The sequence below is a fragment of the Homo sapiens genome, chromosome 9 (genome assembly GCF_000001405.40).
Source record: "Homo sapiens chromosome 9, GRCh38.p14 Primary Assembly".
Lineage (NCBI taxonomy): Eukaryota > Metazoa > Chordata > Mammalia > Primates > Hominidae > Homo > Homo sapiens.
In genome coordinates this window covers 6,961,302-6,982,891 of record NC_000009.12, presented here as the reverse complement: position 1 = coordinate 6,982,891, position 21,590 = coordinate 6,961,302, and the positions used below count along the sequence as shown (strand labels likewise).

General features: G+C 36.9%; 1 protein-coding gene across 22 annotated transcripts in view; it reads right to left on the bottom strand.

Moving 5' to 3' along the window:
• KDM4C (lysine demethylase 4C) overlaps positions 1-21,590 on the bottom strand; it is a 454,786-nt gene that overhangs the window by 192,757 nt on the left and 240,439 nt on the right. For 15 of the 22 annotated variants that reach the window (NR_148677.3, NR_148678.3, XR_001746255.3 and 12 more), the window contains one exon: positions 1,774-1,967. Coding sequence is in view for 13 of the 22 variants with exons in the window: in NM_001146696.2 (NP_001140168.1) it covers positions 1,774-1,967 (194 nt within the window). In the remaining 9 variants the exon portion in view is untranslated. Of the gene's footprint in view, positions 1-126; positions 1,051-1,773; positions 1,968-7,952; positions 8,079-21,590 lie in introns of those variants that run through there. The other 7 variants (NR_148680.3, NR_148679.3, NR_130707.4 and 4 more) reach the window with 3 other exon arrangements.

The following is a 21,590-nucleotide window of genomic DNA, read 5'->3' as shown; positions in this document are numbered from 1 at the left end:
TCAGGCTTTCTAAGTAGGTGAGCAAGTTCCATTGATTATTTGAACCTACTGACAAGCATTTTGATCTGTTCAAGTGTCATAAATCCATGTTCTCTATCAACCCAAAAGGCCCACTGTGGTTAATACCTGGAAACCAAGTCATACACCTAATGAAAATATTGTGTTTTCCATCCATGACAGAACAATGCTCAAGATGTTCTCCTGGTGTGTATTCTGAACTCAGGATTGGATACTGCCTCCTTCCAGCGCTGGCTTCTTTAGTGCTGTGAATTAACACAGTTATCAAAGACACTGACTGTCCAAATTAGTATTTCTCAAACTTTTCTTGAATGTAACCCACAGTGAGTTATATATTTCAGATAGTGACACTATATACACACATACACACATACTCACACATGTCATGAGTGAATATTTGCCCTTACCACAGAGGAAGCACTATAATACTTTTTATTCTATTTTACCACCTCATTTTAAAATGTTGGTCCTGACCTACTAACAAACACTTTGACGATCATTGCGGTAAACTACAGGGGGAAATATCAACACCTGAGTTAGTTCTGCACCTCAGGTCTACCTCTTATAAGATGCCGAAGTTTGACTCCATGTTCCTAAGGTTCTTCCACTCACTACCACTCTAAATAAGCAGAAAATAAATATCAGGGAAAAAAAAAAGACAGAAAATAAGCATCATAAGTCTGGGCAAAGATGTAAAATTATGGTGTTACTTAGTTAATATCAAAAAAGTGGACACAAGCTACAGGGGATTAAATACATGCAGGCATTAAAAATCATGTTGCAGCAAATCAATCAGTTACATGAAAAAAACACTCAAAACTGATTGTCAGATTATTAACAGAGCATGGCCCCAATTTTGGAAAGATATATAATATTATAAAATATATAATAAATATATAGGTAAAGGATATATACAAAATGTTAATACTGGTTATCTCTGGATAGTGAGGTTATGAGTGATATGGGATTCCTTCATTATTCTTTTCCTTATTTTACAAATTTCCTCCAATGCACAAATATTACTTTTATAATCTGAAAGAAAAACAATGAGTAATATTGAAGAGGAAAATTTAACATAAAATTGGAAAACATAAGACCCTTAAAAGGTAGCCTAAGGACCTGAGCAACACCACACACACCCTATTCAATAGGTTTTAAAACAACAAGATGCCCACAGCACATCTAAAAGCTTTTGAAATGATCCTGGCCACAAAGATGGAATGGAGAATAAAGTTCACAAGGATAAGCATGTTACAGAAATGCTATATGCTGTGTTTTACATCTTACAAAAGAATAAAACCATGTGCATAAAATGTAGTAAAATATAAGCATCCAGAAGAGAGCAGTAGCTCAGATGTTGGACAAATGAAGAAGATAACCACTAAAGCCAAAAAGCAAAATGGTGGCAAAATGAAAAAGTGGAAAATCAAGTTATTGATTAAAATATGGAAATGCACAGAAAGGAATAATACAACCATAAAACACATTCATGTAAGTGGTCTAACAAGTTCTATATTGTTCTATTTGCCATGTCGAGCAACTTCAGGAATATTCTCAAACAAAATAAATATACATCTCTTCCTATATTGTATTTATTACACACCTAAGAATTAAAAATAATGTCTCACATTTTCAGAAAGGTATTAAGTTATGATGAATAAATAGAAAAAGCAAGTAAATTGCCACATCCAATGACCCATTTTAACTGAGAAAACACGACAGGCAAGGCAGGTCAGTGGGGTGAGGGGTCATTACCTTCGGGATGCTTTTCTTACTTTCCTCCTCCTCTGCAGCCATGCTTTTACTTCAGGGGTGGATGCTGGAGTAGGCTTCGTGTGATCAATGGTGTATATATCCTTTCCTTGTTTCCAAAGCTGATATCTGTCTGGCTGAAATTTCCTCACAAAGATATCCATTGAAATCTTCACCATGTCTTTCCTGCAAGTGCACTGAAACACAACCGGGTTGGAGAGTGTTAAACGTTTCGCTAACTATACAGTAACACAGAGTTGGTCCTTGAACACATCATCCATGAATACTTAGTCACTACATAATGGAGGATAATGCATTACATTATCAAACATTCAATGGGTGATAAACCCAATTTCTTCTGAATAGAGATGAGAATCTATATATTCACATTTATAATGTGGTTATAATGGTTTGTGGACCTCACAGGGAACTATGTACTAAGAAAAACTAAAAGGAAAGAGTGCTCATTTGGAAGCACGCCTGCAATGGAAAGATTATTTGCCCATCACAATGATGTGTCAATGAACTGAGCGCTAAAAGGTCTGTAAAGCTGAAAACCTGGGTTGTCAACAAATAAAATAACCCAATGAATGTGTGATTAGAATACTTTAACCAGTGAGTTGAGATAAATTTACTCTAAGATATATTTTATTATATTTATGGTTATTAACGAACTCTCATAAGGTAACCCAAAATTAGGAGCAAATGAACAGCCTTTTCTACATCACATCACATACAACATCCAATACCATCAACAACAACAACAAACATATCCACTAAAATGAAGACATGGGGTAAAGGTGAGAAGTTCAAAGAAAAAATTATTTTGAATCTACTATGCCTTTAATTCTCATGAATACATAGTTATCAGTCACATCTTATTAAGCAAGTTTTCTATAAAGACTTCACACAAAGTTTTATCAGGTCTAGGCCAGCACTACGCAACAGGGAAGTTATCATTCAAATGGTGGTGCATAAATAATCTCCAAGATTTAACTGATAGACCTTGACAATCCCTAACATACCCGGTAACAGACTGACTGAACAGTTTTGACACAATAAGACTTTAGATATCTTGGTGATACAATTATCACCTCCATGCAAATTAACTCCAAAGTCTTAATATATCCAAACCCAAACTCCCACCACAGAGTTCTCATCCTAATGGCCATTACATTCAAAATACCTAAAATTAATGTCTTCAACTTCAAACCACACTCTGTCGCTACCAAATGATACCACAGTTCTTCTATTCTCCTACATACATAGTCCACATTCCTAGACACTCCCTATGTCTTCACCCCTAAAAATTCAGCCTTGTCTCCATTTACGGCATCTCCTGTCTCAATTCCTTCTGCCAGCATCCTTGCAGCTGCACTGCCAGGCCTTGAATCCTAGCATAACAAGGCTAATTTCCCTGCCTGTAGTCTCTCCTAACAATAATCCATCGTTATAGCTGTTACTTTCGTCTCCCCCAAATCTCTTACAATCTTTCATTCCTGAGTTCAATAAGGTGTAATCACCCTGCTTTTCTTAGACCTAGAATAAGGTCTAAATTTATGAGCCTGGCATTAAGGGCTCCAAGACTTTACTCCACCAATGAGATTTTCAGGTTTCTCTCCCACAGCAAGTCAACATGTATATTCCTCTTCAACCCAAGTCATGGGAGCCCAAATGCCCCTTATGCTTCATTTACTTCAGTATTTTCCTCCTACCACACCACCTTCCTGCATACTAGCCGGCTATCCAGCAAAACTTCATCCTCGGCTCTGAATATAAATTGTCCCAACTGTTCCTCTGAACCTAATACTATTTATCTGCACCACTGCTTTCTATTATTGGTTACATATAATGAGGTTTCTAAGTTACCTTGCATAATTATCTTGCCATTGGAATAAAGAAAATGAAGATCCTGAGAAATTGAAAGATATTTTGGATTAAGATGTAATCTTTTGACAAAAGGGGGAAAAAAGCTTGGACTTACAACCAGAAACTTTCTTAAAGTGTTACTAATATTGCTTCACAAAGAAAAATAAACAGTGAACAAAAGTGATGCTCCCCACTTTAATGAGCTGATTTAGGCCTGATCATGATTACAATTGCAACATCCCTAGGGCAGATAAGCTGGTGAGGTACAGAACACTATTTCTGAGGAAAGTGTCTCAGAAAAAAAAACCTTTGACCTTATTAATATTCATCTTGTTTGCTCAGATGATGCTATGAAGCCTAAACAGAAACAGCAGATAAGCCATGGTCAAAGAGGAGTGTGCTCCGAGACTGGAGGATGGTACTGCTGGACAAACTTGCTAAACAGATGAAGTATGTGACTCGTGGATCCAATCAACCATGTCAGCAGAAGCCAGGAAGAGAGAATGTGGTTATCCAGGAGAGAGCTGTGCAGGACTGTCTTGCTTGATGCTTGGATGTCCATGAACTACACAGAAGACTGACAAGGATTTTGAGACTTTTATACCAGCAGAAATGCTGCCAGCCTGAACTGAAAGGAACAGAGACAGAAAAAAAGAAAGGAATGACTCCAAGGACAAGCCACAGATGCAGAACGACTGAGTGGACAGAACCTCACTGGGCTATTACAACAGCCCTAACAAACTACCCTTCAGGAGGTACAGAAACATGCCACCATGTGTCGTAAGATTTGTTACTTGAGGATTAAATCAACCAGAAAACCCACCTATACTAAATTTTTCTAAATAACCTAAACCCACCAACAATTACAATCTCAGTAATGGTATAAAAGATAATATAAAAAGATTACACCTTTAAAGTTTATTTGGAATTATTATGCAATGGAAGATGTGAAAAAGATTACATCATATCAATTTGCTGAGAAACTGTAAGACCCACAATGCAAATAGTGTTTAAAAGACTAAATTCAAACCCCAGCTTCAACACTGACAAGCTATGAAATCTTGAACAGCTTGTTTAACCTCTCTGTGCCTCAGTTTCTCCATCTGAAAAACTGAGAGTAACAGTGGTAACTATCCTCATGGGGCTGACAATAGAATTAAACTTTTTGTTCTTGTAGAATGTTGCTGAAAATGCTAGATAAGTGCCTATTTTTAAAAGGCCGAATATGGCTTATACAAATTGCTTTTTGGTAACCTGACCACAAGAACATTGAGGTTTCTAGTGTTATCTTATTTTGCCTTACTGAAAAAGTGGAAGCAACAAAAGAAATAAGAATCAGAATACTGCATCTAACAAATGGTCTTAAGGGTCAAGGGGAAGTAAGTGCATAGTGGTTCTGAAGAATCAAACAGGAGGAGCAATCCCAGACTTGTGGGGGATTGAAAAAACCCTAGAGGACTGGGCCATTGTCACAGGAGAGGTGACAGCAGTGTACATCAAGCTCCTGTTTGGATCATATGTTGCAACCAGACTCAACTCCATGGCTTCACATCTAGAGCAAACAACTGAAACTGGAGGCCCAGCAGATGACAGGCATTAATGAAAGGAAATGTCCATAACATGAATTAATACTGCCCAGGTGTCCAAGGTAGGATGCTGTAAAGTAAAATAAGATGGAGGCAGGGGTTCGACTTATGTGACTTCTTCATTCTCCACTGTATTTAAAAAACAAAATAGGCCTCCTTTTAACATAAGAGCTTGGTATTACATGGCAACATGTATGTGGTTTTGGGAGACATGAAATAATATCCACTTGAATCTCAGGATTGAAGAATAACTTTCAGAACATACTGGGAAAAAGTTGATTTCTTGCTTACATAAAATAAAACTCTAGTGAATTTCGAACATATCATATTATAACCTAAAGAGGATAATATTTAAAATTTAAAAAGAATTACTGTCTTTCATAGAAAATTACTAATTTTCCAACAATTATGAAAAGAACCCAATGTAGAAGATCAATTAGATTTTTGAACAGGACAATCATAAAGAAGGGAGGAGCCGATGGCAAACTCTTATTTTGAAGATTTAAATATGTCCAAATGACACGAGGCACATGGCTATAACCTGTAGTCCCAGAACTTTGGGAGGCCGAGGCAGGTGGATGGCTTGATCCCAGGAGTTCTAGACCAGCCTGGGAAACATGTCAAAACCCCGTTTCTACCAAAAATACAAAAATTAATCTCATAATCCAGTCTCAAAACAAATAAGCCCAAATGAAACACAAATTGTTGTCTTCTGGTGATGCCTGAGTAGATATCATATCTCTAGACCTATGCTGTCCTATCTTATCCTTTAGATCTAAAATACTGCCCTTTACAGTAGCCACCAAAAATGTATTTACCGATAAAAATGACTTATGCCAAAAAAAAAATCAAACAACATATTTATTGCTATTTCCTTAAGAAATGGGAATGGATAATTTAAAAAGCAAAAGTTAGTTTTAAACACCCTAAATTTTTAAATCAAACTCTAGCCTCTCCTTTCCCAAAAATGTTATTGCTCTTGAAGGCTATCAGCTAATTATCTTTGAGGCACAATCAAATCACATTAGATCAGAACTACAGCATGAAAAAGGCATCTGTTCTATATTCTATCCAACACAAAGCGAAAGTGCCTAACATCCCCCAATATATAAGGTATAAAAACATGGGACTGTGTATAAAACTTTAAAATGCAAAATGTTCAATGGCTTTAAGAACCCAACAGTTTATATGTTATTAATACAAATTGCCCTCTGAATAGTACTATATATATAATATTATGGACAAATGGAAGACATTCTATATCTCATTGTTTTCTAATAACCCTAATGTTAGTGAAGACAGTAAGAATTAAGAATCTATTATTAACAGTTATTTCTAACTTGTATTATGACTTCATAATTCATAATTGCTCATTATTTCTATAGTAAGAAGTAACAAAGCACTGCTAAGTGTTAGCATCAAAGTAACCTCTTATTTAACCAAGAATATGTCTGGTGGTGGTAACTAACAGGGCCAAAATCATTAATTAGGCCTGACACATAATTTTATTCTAACTCCTCAGACTACACTCTCATAATCACATAGATCTGTGCAAGTTCAGATACGTTAGTCTCAAAAACAAAAAACAAAAAAGGTATAATCCCCTAACTGATTTTTTATTTTATTTTTGAGACAAGGTCTCACTTTGTCACCCAGGCTGGAGTACAGTGGCGCAATCTCGGCTCACTGCAACCTCTCCCTCCCTGGTTGAAGCGATTCTCCTGCCTCAGCCTCCCGAGTAGCTGGGATCACAGGCATGTGCCACCACGCTCGGCTAATTTTTGTATTTTTAGTAGAGACGGGGTTTTGCTATGTTAGCCAAGCTGGTCTCAAACTCCTGACCTCGGGTGATCCACCCACCTCGCCCAAAGCGGTGGGATTACAGGTGTGAGCCACCACACAGGCCCTGAATTTCTTATTCTAATTTTAATGAACCATTAGTGAATTATCTCAGATACTTTGCCCCATCTGACCTTCCTACACCACTCTATACTTAACCATGAGCTACACACAGTGTCTGTCTTATAGAGAAGTATATTCTAGGTGCCTAGAGAATAAGAGTCCCTTAAAAATGTTTGTTAAATAACCTTAAAAAAATATATGAAGAAACAGAGACAGGCGCAGAGGACTCACATTAATTAGTCCAAGGTCACATACCTAATAAGTAACAGAGACTTTGCTAGATTCAAATCTAGCACTTCTACACTCTTACCCAATCTACTGTGGAAATTCCAAAACAAAACCACATTTAATACATACAACATGCTTTATCATTTAAATGGCCACATTTTTCCATCTCAATCTTCTTTATCTATGACCCATAACCAAACTGAAATTGTAGCTGCAAATAAATGTCCGGGACTCATTATATTTGCTTTCTATGCATGATATCATGCTGTGTTGATAGAGTTTAACCAGCCTAGCTAACAATTTTCCAAAATAAGTTTCTTTCCCTCCTCCCACTTCTAATAGGTTCAGATTAATTTCTCTGGAATATTTGCAGGCTTCACTGTGCCAGGATATGTCTCCCTTATAAAGTAAGGCAATTATAAAGCAATTTAAGGTATGGGACTAGAAACTCAATCTTTCTGACCCATGAGAGCACTGTTCAAATAGACAAAGAAAAACTATGCAAAAAGAAGGGGAATGGATTCAAATAGTTTGCTCCGGGGTCTCCAAAAGATTCAGTAGAAATTATTTTTAGAATTTCTGCTTCTCAGCACTTACCTGAATATCTGATAGAAAGGTTGTGGAAGTTCAGAGTTAGAGATATTAAACAATCCACTCCTGCTGTGCCATGTAAAACAGCATGAAATTGAACTCTTTAGTATTCGGGGGTAGATAAAGTTGTTTTGTTCTGAATTCATGCACTCCATGTCACAGTTTATATGGATGATAAATCTGAGGAAGATCAGATAAAAATAGGGCTCTGCACACTCTTAGAGATCTAAATTCCTTGTAAACATAAATATTTGTATGAGTCTATATGATCACATATGAAAACAGACAGGCAGGGTGCGGTGGGTCACGCCTGGAATCCCAGCACTTTCAGAGGCCGAAGCGGGCAGAGCACCTGAGGTCAGGAGTTTGAGACCAGCCTGGCCATCATGGTGAAACTCCGTCTCTACTAAAAATACAAAAATTACTCAGGCATGGTGGCACATGCCTGTAATCTCAGCTACTCGGGAAACAGGCAGGAGAACTGCTTGAACCCAAGAGGCGTAGGTTGCAGTGAGCCGCGGTCGCACAACTGCACTCCAGCCTGGACGACAGAGTAAGACTCCGTCTCAAAAGAAAGACAAAAAAGCAGACAGAAATAGCATGGATGCATATTGTTGAATATAACGTTATATATAATCCTTCTCCTAAAATGTTTTTATTAAAATGTTCAGGTATACTGATTTCCTTGTTAGAGAGTCTTTCAGGTATTTCTTTTTCAATGACGAAGTTAACACAATTAGAACGCATCCTGAACCTTAGGAAGTAAGTCATCCACTTGAATCATCATATCCTAATTTATGGATAAGAAACTGAGGCACAAAAATGCTAACTGACTTGTTGGATGTCACAAGGATAGTAACTGGGGGAAAAGGGGGTTTAAGTGATGTGAGATTCAGTATCCTGCCCACCAGCCTCTTTGGGTTTTTCAATTTCGTAACCACTGAGTACACAGGAACATAATGAGTAATTGAAGGGTCTGAATACAGAACTAGCTGTCTCACAGGTTTCACAATGCTGGCCACAGTAAGTACCATCTGAGCGATGTTGAAGACATTTACCTTTTTCTACTTCTGCTGAATATGAGATAAACACAGCATCTCCTGTCCTCCTCCATCTTTTCTGCACAAGTCAAACAGCAGTATGAATGTAGGTAAATATTAATGAGGAAATAATGTTTTAAAAGAAGGGAAGGGATGAGGATTGATTAACAAATCAATAAGGAGAAAAATTTTAAAACTAGCTATGCATGCATAATAAAATTCCCAGAATAGAAGCTCTAAATAGTATATCAAGGGTGCTCTCACTTGAGAGAAACAAAAATAACAATTTTCAAATAAATTCTAGGTTACCATATTTTTAAATGCTATATGTCATACTAATTTTGAGTGTGAGTCTCTGGAAAAAATGAAACCTTGATTTATTTAGCAGCCATGTCGAAAACAATAACCTGCACTCCATGTACTCTGATTACATGTCTCCTGCCACGTGAAAACTCTTTGACATTGTTTCTAAAGTGGGAAAATACCTAAAGAAAGCTAACTAGACCAAGAGAGTAATGCTTTTAGTCTATTTGATTTTCTAATGTTAACAATATGGTCAGGGGCTGGGTGCAGTGGGGCTCACGCCTGTAATCCTAGCACTTTGGAAGGCTGACACAGGAAGATTGCTTGAGGCCAGAAGTTCAAGAGCAGCCTGGGCAACACAGCAAGACCCCATATCTGGGGAGAAAAAAAGCAGCAGCAGAAATTTAACACTAAATAAGAAAATGAAAACAACTCATGTTTTTGAAATAAAAGTTTGACAATTCAATGACAAAACATACTTTTTCAGCCAAACTTCTCCATAAAAACAGTAGTACTATAAGTAAATAATTCACCATCTCAGATTCACTTTACCTAGCAATCCCTGCCTTCCCTCTCAAGTATGAGACTATGTCTGGCCCCACTATTATATTTTCTCTGTTATTAGTTTCATGAAATGATTTAAAGTGGACAAAAGACAGATGTATTAAACTCGAATCAGAAAAAAAGCAAACAGAAGATAGAAAAACACACAATGGATTTCAGTGTTCTTACAATTTCTCTCTAGCCAAATTTAAACATAATCAATCAGGAAGAATATGGGGAAACATTTCTTGAAAGAAGATTCATTATTATTCTAATAAATCAAAATGAGAAGAACTGGATTTAAATCAGTTTAAACCCAACAGGTATCCAACACGCAGAACTAACTCCCATGACTGTTACCATTAGCTGCCTAACATGAAACTCATGAATAGCAAAACAAAGCTGCATTAAACCAGTCTGTGACATGGTAAGAATAAAGCATGGCAACAATTTGGCAACACATACCAGAATGTTTAAAATATTTAACAGTCTTTTAAAATATGAATAACCTATGACCACAACTGGTGGCATTTTCCTAAGCAGATAATTTTGAATTAATACACCAACTTAATTTTAACAACGCACAGCTCATCTGTGTTTACCAAATATCTTAAAATTAGAAAAAAATTTTCTAATACTCCTTTAAAAAATTATGGTATAACCATGTAAACTGATTTTATGGGAGAAAATATAATCATATGGAAATGCATTACCATTAGGTAGAGAAAATAGGTGTGTGTGTGTTTTCTTTTTCTATTTTCACATACACAGATATTTATATACATATGTGTGTATATATATATACACACACACACACACCCCTATTTTCACAAAATAGGAAATGGCTCCCCCCTAAATAGATGGAGTGAGTAAGAGATCAAGGTCTCTCTCTTGATCTCTCACTCTCTTGATCTTTCTATATTTATCTTAAACCAAAGGTGTTTTATTTCGTACCCATTGTTATTTTCCCTTCAAATCACTTGCCACGTGTAATCATATTTTGTGTATTTTTTTAGTTCTCAGTTGTTTTCAACACTAAAACCTACACTCGGTGAAGACAGGCATCAGGTCTGTTTTACCACTGAATATCTGTCATCATTACATAGTATATGCTCCATAAATATTAGTTGAATGATGGCTAGCCCACTAGAGTAATGCCAGCAATGTTAGAAACAAGTCAAAAATGAAAATTAAAATCGAATGTTGACTCACCATATTTGAATTATTCAATAACTTCCCTCATTTCTATTTATGTAAGTTATTTTAAAATTAAATTACCTGATCATTGTGTAGAACCCTTGATTAGATAACCTTAAAGTATTGCATTACTACATGGGGGAAGTCTGCCTTAATTAATATGAAACATGTCATAAATATTAAGGAGCTTTCTTTGCCCAGGAAATGACATTCATCTACAAACTACAATACAGATTTCTAACTATGCATACACTTGTTAAGAAATTGGTTAATTCAAATAAAATGTAGAATCATCATTGATGTAATGAATCATTAACAAGCTCTGGACAAAAGAATTCCTTGACTACCCGAGGGGCACAGACCGCTGATAAAATCTAGAAAGTGATTTGGTACGATCAGGTGTATTTTTACTCTACAGAGATTCATTGATCAGTCCAAATTTTAAAACAGGCTACATAATAAATGCAGTTTTAATGATCTACATTTCCTCATATTCACAGGCACTTTTAATATATTTAAATCCAAACTGGAATAAATCCAAAAAGGAATCATAAATGCAGCTGAAATCAGCCCCATGTTCTGCCAAGCAGTAAAGACCACTTTAAAACAATTCCAACTATCCATCCATATTTCTAGAGCCAAAAAAAAGCTCCACATTTGTATAACTTATATAATAATCACAGCAAAGATTACTCATCTATATGTGTAATAAGAAATCACTACATGGCTATAGTTTCACTTATTTCTTCAGATGTGGCTGCCTATTACAATCCATCCACTGGCACAAAAATTTTTTTAAATCTTTTCTTTTTAAAAAAAAGGAATGCGCTGTCATCACCAGTGCATAAATATAAGCTGCAGCAGCTATCCATTAAATCAAAATGCAAAACCCTTTCCTCATGGGGTCTGAAAGACCAAATTAAAAGGGAGAAGACGGTAGAGCCGAGGGAATGATGGGGTTAGTGTATGAGTGCATCATTTCGGTTTTGGTTCATCCTACATTCCATGAGTTGTTCCTAAGAGGAGGTACCCTGGGGGTGAGACCGGGGTGGGGGTTAGGGGCGGGGGGTGGGAATACTGTTTTTTAAATAGCAATAAACAATTATCACATACCAATTCTGCTCATACTTTCTCCTTCCCTTTGTCCAAGAACAGGACATAAGTTGAAAATGGCTTCTCAACTATTCTAAGTCATTTTAGCCACAAAGTTATCACACCTGATCCATATAATCTCTGGCCCAAGACTAAATTACAAGCCTTTCCTTCACAGTGCAAAATCATGAAGCCTATGCCACCACAAGCTCTAATTTCCCCTCTCTATGAAATGTATATTGGAAAGAAAACTAACAGGAAGTCCAGCACTTTAATCAAATATTAAATTACATCCATCTTTGGTTCAAATTTAATACTTGTGCTACAGCAATATGTCCACAGTAACCAGCTATGAAGCATTCACTCTACAAATATTTTGGTGCCTAATGTGTCCCAACAGGTACAATTACAGTGACCAAGGTTCATAAGTAAGTAAACTACAAGAGGGAGGGCAGAAGTATAAAAAGTTTTCAATGTTCATCACTGGTTAAGTTTTGGGAAACTTAACAGGGCTATTTTATTCATAAGAAACCATTACTCATTATTTAATCTTTTTAAAAAATTTTACTGGAACTGATGTGGCTGAATTAAATGACAAAATTGCACCGCATGATTTGTTCCTAAGATTTCTCTTCGTTAGGATGCTTTCTGACTAAAAAGAGCACCTTGATTGTCCCCCAAACTCAGGCATGTAATTTAGGGAAGCTAGACTGGCCAAACATTCCACCCCAATGGCAACAGTGATTGGTTCAGAGATGGGCACATGGCCCAAGCAACACCAATGAGGTACAGTGGGAATGTGTCGGTAGCTTGTTATCCTACAGAAGCTAACAGTCATCTCTGCCACAACATGGGAAACAACTGCCTGAGAAAGAAATCAACAGAGCAGAAAGTATGACAAGAAATGTCAAGTAGGTAGTCCTGCATCCAGAGAATGTTTACCCATAGGACCAGCTTAGGCAGAATCGATGCACTTAATATTAATCTCTAAGTATATAACACTCAAAAGAAATGTTAAAATCACCTCTGAACATAGAAAAAAAATTTTAAATAAAAACGGTCCTCCAGACTGGAAATGCATCTACGGTTGAAACCAGAGCGTAACAATTTGTATTTGACATATGAAAAAATGATTTGATAGTCAGCATGGGATGGAATGCGTTATCAGGTAAGACAGTCATGTGATGTGATCCAGGCACGGATGTAAAAGTTAAACGAATAAGACAATCAGTAATGGAACAGTATATATAAGGATCTGCCAAAAGAGACTGTTTACATTTCCATTTTTACATGTGTTCAAAACAATTCAAGTCAGTTAATATGCTTGGAATATCAAGCCTATCAGCAGATAAAAAAAACCCTATGTTCTTAATGTGGAGGCTTGATTTTTAGATTGCTGTTTAAACCAGCCAAGATTTTAAATGTCAATCAGAACATACAAAAAGGCCTTAATATGAAAAGTTTATACATATAAAAATGCAATTCTGGCTCTATAGCATTAAGAAATAAATATCAAAATAGTAATTAACAACCCAGGCCGAGCACGGTGGCTCAAGCCTATAATCCCAGCACTTTGGGAGGCAGACGCAGGCAGATCACTTGAGGTCAGGAGTTCGAGACCAGCCTGGCCAATATGGTGAAACCCCATCTCTGCTACAAATACAAAAATTAGCCAGGTGTGGTGATCCGTGCCTGTGGTCCCAGGTACTCAGAAAGCCGAGGCACAAGAATCATTTGAACCAGGAGTTGGAGGTTGCAGTGAGCCAATATCATGCCACTGCACTCCAGCTTGGGTGACAGAGCAAGACTCTGTCTCAAAACACACACACACACAATTAACCCAACAGAAGTTACATATTCCAATATCCCAGAACCAATATAAAAATTTTAAACACTCAAACTAAAACAGATTATTGTAAAAGCCCAATATAAAATACCATCTCACTTTAATACATAGATCCAAACAGTAATTTTAATAAAATGTCAAAAATATGACATCCAATAACCACAGAGATATAAAATTATGAAGTACCTGAAAATGAATAACATAGGTCCAAAGATAATGTTAAGTAACTGGCATTGAACTACAAAGGTTTTTGGAAGCCTATTTTCAACGAACCCTCACTTTGGAATTATTCTAGCAGTTCCAACAAAGTAAACTTATAACGCAGAAGGGCAGAATTCAACTACTTTTTCTTTTACATTCTTTATGAAACCATAAAATATGTGGAAACAGTTTAACTTAATTATTGTTTAACCACAGCAACATCAGAGAGAGCAGACGTCCTCTCTCTGAGAAGACCTGACTAAGCAGAACACAAAGTTCCTACAACAGAGGCTGCATAAAAAACTGCTTCACCAAGAACTACCCAGCATACACATAAATGGTAATCTTGGTCTCCTTTCCTCAATGGCAAGTAATTGATGGCATTTCTTCATTTATTAAAAATAACTTTTGTAGAGACAGGGACTGAACTATGTTACCCAGGCTGGTCTCAAAATCCTGATCTCAAGTGAATCTCCCACTTCAGCCTCCCAAAATGCTAGGATTATAGGCATGAGTGCACCCAGGGCATTGTTCATTCATGTTTAGTTTTCTAAGTTCATAAGGTGAAGGAGGCCTATCTTAGTTCTTACTTTTGAAAAATTTTAAAACATAATTAATAGATCATAATTTTTAAAAATTCACGCTGATAGTGATAGCAAACATCTACCACTTACTGTGTGCATACTAAGTACCAGGTACAATGATAAATGTAAAGCATTTTCTCATTCAGTCATTATAGATATTGTCTCAATTAATCTTCGTATCCCATGAGAAACTATTAATATCCCTACTTTACTAATGTTGGAATCAAAGAACCATTTACTTATGAAAAGCCATAGAATATGCAAGTGGTAAAGACACAGCCTCATATCTTTTTGGCATCAGTATCTGTACTGCTAAAAACTCACAATATAATGAGAATCCAGGATATGGAGTACTAATAATGTGTATCATCCCGGATCTTCTGAACTCTGAACTCGAGGATAATAGGGCTCTGGTATGGTTCTCATATTGAGAAAACTTACAGAGATTATAAGGCAGAGAAAGTAAAAAGAGATTGCAACAGAAGGCATACAGGTGCAGGTGAGCCCCCTGCCTGTCATGATCTCCAGATAACAGCATCTTCCCTACAAGCCCGTTTCACTCCTCCAGTCCTTCCAACAATTTCACAGCCTAGTTCCTTTTGCACCCAGACTTACTAGGAACAACTGTACATTCATGTGCAAGTCTTTCTGTGAACGTTTTAATCTTGCATATCTTCCTTTCTCAAGAGTCTGTACAATTTTTTTTTTTTTTTTTTTTAGTGGAAGCTTGCTCTGTCACCCAGGCAGGAGTGCAGCGGCACAATCTTGGCTCACTGCAACCTCCGCCTCCTGGGCTCAAGTGATCTTCCTGCTTCAGCCCCCCGAGTAGCTGGGATTACAGGCGCCTGCCACCAAGCCCGGCTAATATTTGTATTTTTAATAGAGACGAGGTTTCACCATGTTGGCAAGGTTGGTCTTGAACTCCTGACCTCAAGTGATCCGCCTGCCTTGGCCTCCCCAAGTGCTGGGATTACAGGTGTGAGCCACCATGCCCGGCCAGGAGTCTGTATAATTTTTGGCCCATTTTTCAGGGAGATGCTTTAGTCACTTCATGATTGAGTTTTTCAGGTTCTTTGTATGTCCCAACTACCAGTCCTTATCAGACACGTTTTGCAAATGTTTTATCCTCCTCTGGGTCTTGCTAATTCAATTTTTTAGTGATATATTTGGTGAGCAGCAGTTTTTAACTTTAACGAGACCCTAAATCATCAATTTTTTTATGATTATTGCATTCTGTGATTTAAGCAGTCTTTGCCTATCCTCAAGTTATAAAGATAGCTCTGTCCCCTATATTTTCATCTAATAGCTTCCTATATTAATTTTCTCTGTCAGGTCTAAGATAAATCTTGAATTAGTAGTTGTGTATGGTGAGGTTCAAGGTTTATTTTGTCCTAAATAATGAAGACTTTTTTTCCCTACTGGATGGTTGGATGCCTTTGACAAAAAACTAAATACCATATATAAATATGGATCTGATGTGGATTAACTCTTCTATTAAGGAAGATCTAGACGTAAACCAAGAACTAGATCTACATACAGATTTATTCTTCATAAACAATCATATCTACAAACAGAGATATTTTTACTTATTTGTTTCTGATCTTCATGCCTTGGCTTACTGCAGTGGCTGTGGCCTTCAGTAAAATGTTACATAAAAGTATTAAGAGTGAGGCCCGGCGCGGTGGCTCACGCCTGTAATCCCAGCACTTTGGGAGGCAGAGGCGGGCGGATCACGAGGTCAGGAGATCAAGACCACAGTGAAACCCCGTCTCTACTAAAAATACAAAAAATTAGCTGGGCGCAGTGGCGGGCGCCTGTATTCCCAGCTATTCAGGAGGCTGAGGCAGGAGAATGGCGTGAACCTGGAAGGCGGAGCTTGCAGTGAGCCGAGATCCCGCCACTGCACTCCAGCCTGGGAGACAGAGCGAGACTCCGTCTAAAAAAAAAAAGTATTAGGAGTGGAAATTCTTACTTTGTTCCAAATCTTAATCTTAAGGTGTCTAAATTTTCACCATTTAGTATGGTATTTGCTTTAGGTTTTTCAGACTTACTTCCATCTAAATGCAAAGTTAACTCTGAAAGTTTTTAATAAAAAAAGCATGCTGCTTTCTCTGCATTTAATAAAATGGTCATATGCTTTTTATCCTTTATTCTGTTAACATGGTGTATGAAACTGATAGACTTTTAAATGTTAAACCAAACTTATTGTGATGGTTAATTTTATGTGTCAATTTGACTGGAACATGAGGTACCCAGAAATGTAGTAAGATATTATTCTGAGTGTTTCTGTAAGGGTGTTTCTAGATACTTGGATAATCCGATTACTGTGAATCAGTAGAGTGAGTAAAGCAGATGTCTCTCCCTCAAGTGGGTAGGCTCCATCTAACAAGCTGAAAGGGCCTTGGAATGAGACCCTGCCTCTCCCTGGAGTAGGACCTGTTTGTCTGACTGCATGAACTGGAACATCAGTTTGCTTCTGCCTTCAGACCACACCTGAAACACAGGTTTTGCTTGGGTCTCAAGAATGCCAGCTCTCAGACAGAAAAGTACATCATCAGTTCTGAGTATTCAACTTATTGACTGCAGAGTCTTGAGGTTTCTCAGCTTCCATAATTAAGTATGCTGACATATCCATAAACAGACACACATATATACACACACACATATCCTGCTGGTATTGTTAGTCTGGAGAACCCTAACAAACTTGTGTTCTGGAGATAAATGTCACATAATATCAATTAGCACTACTGTCCTCACTTTATATAATTTAGTCATATATATCTCTCTATATATAAATTTATAATTTAGTCATAAATATACCTAATATATCCAAATATATATATATATATCATGTATTAGAGAACATAAAATTGATATGTGGTTTTAGACTTTTTTTTTCTTTGCAATTTGCCTTGTGTTAAGCTCAAGGCTTCCTATGCTTACACAGCCAGAGCCACGTTTCTCTTTTATTTCCTACATATAATTTTTCTCTCATTAAAAATAAATAACATGCAAGAAAGAGTAATGGGAAACAAAGCCATTATAAAGCACCCTCCTGGAAATTTCCATTTTTCTAAACTTTCGCATTCAAGAAAGAGAAGTTTAAGAATAAAAAATGTAAATGGGTGTAAAAAGGTTATGTAGGAGAAAAATCTAGGCATACGTTCACTTTGCTTTTTTTTTTTCCCGACGAAGTCTCACTCTGTAGCCCAGGCTGGAGTGCAATGGCGCGATCTCGGCTCACTGCAACCTCCGCCTCCTGGGCTCAAGTGATTCTCCTGCCTCAGCCTCCCGAGTAGCTGGGATTACAGGCATGTGCTACTGCGCCCAGTCTGTGGTTTTTTTTTTTTTTTTTTTTGAGACGGAGTCTCACTCTGTCCCCCAGGCTGGAGTGCAGTGGCGTGATCTCGGCTCACTGCAAGCTCCACCTCCCGGGTTCACGCCATTCTCCTGCCTCAGCCTCACGAGTAGCTGGGACTACAGGCGCCCACCACCACACCCGGCTAATTTTTTGTATTTTTTAGTAGAGATGGGGTTTCACCGTGTTGCCCAGGCTGGTCTTGAACTCTATAAAGACACATGCACATGTATGTTTACTGTGGCACTATTCACAATAGCAAAGACTTGGAACCAATCCAAATGTCCATCAATGATAGACTGGATTAAGAAAATGTGGCACATATACACTATGGAATACTATGCAGCCATAAAAAAAGGATGAGTTCATGTCCTTTGTAGCGACACGGATGAAGCTGGAAACCATCATTCTCAGCAAACTATCCCAAGGACAGAAAACCAAACCCCGCATGTTCTCACTCATAGGTGGGAATTGAACAATGAGAACGCTTGGACACAGGATGGGGAATATCACACACCTGGGCCTGTTGGGGGGTCAGGGGAGGGGGGAGGGATAGCAATAGAAGATATACCTAATGTAAATGATGAGTTAATGGGTGCAGCACACCAACGTGGCATATGTATACATGTGTAACAAACCTGCACGTTGTGCACATGTAGCCTAGAACTTAAAGTATAACTGAAATAAATAAAATAAAATGACAATAAAGAAAGCAAAGATTACAGAAAAATAATAATAATAGTAAAATATTAACATCAGAGTTATGTTCTTAGCTTTCTAACAGTCAAAATTATTAGCTCCAACAGCTTGCAAATGAAGCTGCTTTCTAACCATTTTTCAAACATTCAAATACTCCTCTGCACTGAATAGTTAATCTAGGAATAGCTAAAAAAGTGATAGCAAGAAACAGAAGGATTAAAAATGAAATGTGAGAGGGAACTGTCAGGGTGGCGGAAACACCATCAAGTAGAAAAACATATAGGTAGCTGTTAGGGGCCTTGAGGTAGTCTAAGAAGACTGAGAGGCAGGAAAATGATGCTTCTCTGGAAGAATGTGCGGAAGACACAGGACAGGACACATTGCAAGAGAAGGAATGGATCTCATAAATTTAAACAGCAATGAAACCATCAGTATCAACTCAGATGTCCTGTCTCTCCACTGTTACCCCTCTGCTACATCCTGAATCTTTCTCTGTATTGTTACCTTGTTGCACCAACTGTATTTATCTAGCTAACATGCTTCATATTTCACCTTAAATGCCCATAGACTAGGTCAGCTCCCCTACCACAAACAACTCAATGCCATGAATATGCGGCACGATACTACTGGTCATAATTAGTTGTATCATTATTTCATAATGTCAGCCTCTGGGCTTCCTGTAAGAGGACAAAGATTGTGCTTATCCTGCATCACTGCAACTCCCAACCAGAGTGGTCAATAAATATTTACTGCATGAATTAATAACTGAATAAAAAATGTGTCCATGAATATATTTCCAACAATTATTAATACTACTAAAAGCATTTGTCTAGTATTTTTTTATTTGCTTACTAAAAACTACTTGCTAAGAATCACTTTTTTAATCACTTTACAGTTTACTAAGTACTGAGCACCATTCTAAGTACACTGCATTTAACAACTCAATCCTCAGAGGTTGGCATAATTATTATCCCCACATAACAGATGAGAAAACCAATGCACAGAAAGATTAAGTAATTTGCATAAAGTTCATGGTGGACACAAGATTCAAACCCAAGAAGCCTGATTCCACAAGACATTACTGGCTCAAATTTTAATTTTAAACCAACTATATCATGTCCATAAACAGCTTATATGTATCTTGTAAAATATTTATAGGTCTGAGATTTAACATTTTAGCTAGATAATTCTCACATGCATAATGAATTACAGAAAACATTAGTACTTGATTCTTGATGTTGATTTCTTTTTTTAGTAATTGAGTAATTACATGAGATTTTAAAAATAAATACACAATTTAAAGTTTTCATGTTACCTAAATGCATTTAAGTATTATAATCTAAATGCCCAGAAGAACTGCTGAATTAAGAAGAAATAAATCTGAGTCAGGGTTGTGACAGTCATTACAGCTGATGTCTTTTTTTTTCTCTACTAATGGAACAAAGAAATGTATCTTATTTTACAGAATCTATCATGTTGACTATAAAAAATTTACTATGTGAAAATGTAAATGCTGAAAACATTTATAGGATTTCTTGTTCCTTTAATAAAATCATACTGATTAAAAAGATCATTGCTCATACTTTGTTTAAAAATGAAACCATAAAGTGTTGACTTCATACGGTCTGATTATGTGATTATCTCAGAAGCTGAAAATTGCAATTATCCTTAACTCATCTGAACATTAATGGATTCACTGTCCAAAGGTCAGTTTGCGTTTCTGAACACTAGAAGACTGGATAACTTATCTACATTTCATCTTCAAATGCATTTGGATATAATTTTTTCTTGAATTACTGCTAGCTAGATTAAACACTGCTACAGGAAGGGAGCTTAAGCTATAATGTATGCTGTGTGTTCATCCAGGCTGTTGAGCATACAAAGTACAAGATATATTTAAATGTGTACATACATGCCTAATCAAATTCACTCCTATTGCTTTTTTCAATCAATCAATTTAATTCATTTTCTTCAAAATCACAGCCAATAGAGCCCCCTGGTGCTCCTCTTGTATCCCACTGTGACTCTAGGGTTCCTCACGACTCTGACATAAGTACATAACGAAGTTAATGTTACCAAGCATAACCGACCCAGTAGCTGATTTATAAATGAACTTGTGAAGGCCAGCAGGCATTCCCTACAGTCTTTGATTTATACATGCACTCATTCAGTAGTACACAGAAACTGCATTCACAACATCCTTAAAACACCATAAGCTAGAAGGGAAAAAAGCTTTAAAATGATGGCAATTTCTATTGAGAAGATGCAATAATATGGAAAAATAATCATGACAATGAACGGATGACAGAAAAGTAATAAAGCTAAATACCATCAAAGAGGTCACCATGTTTTTATTTTTGTTTTTGTTTGACAGGGCCACAGACCCTTACCTTGTATATTACACTCACCTATTTGAATTTTGATAACAAGGATTACTATGATAAATAATTTTGAATTTAGTTAAGTCATAATTTAAGACATTAGATATTTAAAAAGACAATTTATACCTTACTAATGAATTATGCTATGTATAAATACTATATTCTGTCTGATGAGAAATAGTTACAATGTTACCTTCTTTACAAACAGAAAGTTTATGCACTCATTTTCTGACAGTTTATACAACCACGACTATCTCTGTTCAGAAAGTAGGTGGATACCTTTCAGTACCTGCATCTAGTAAGGCAGTAACATAAACACAAAACACTATATATGCATGCAAGCCATCTGGATGTAATATGGTTCTTCTATTCACCACCCCACGTTTAGTGCTGCACACAT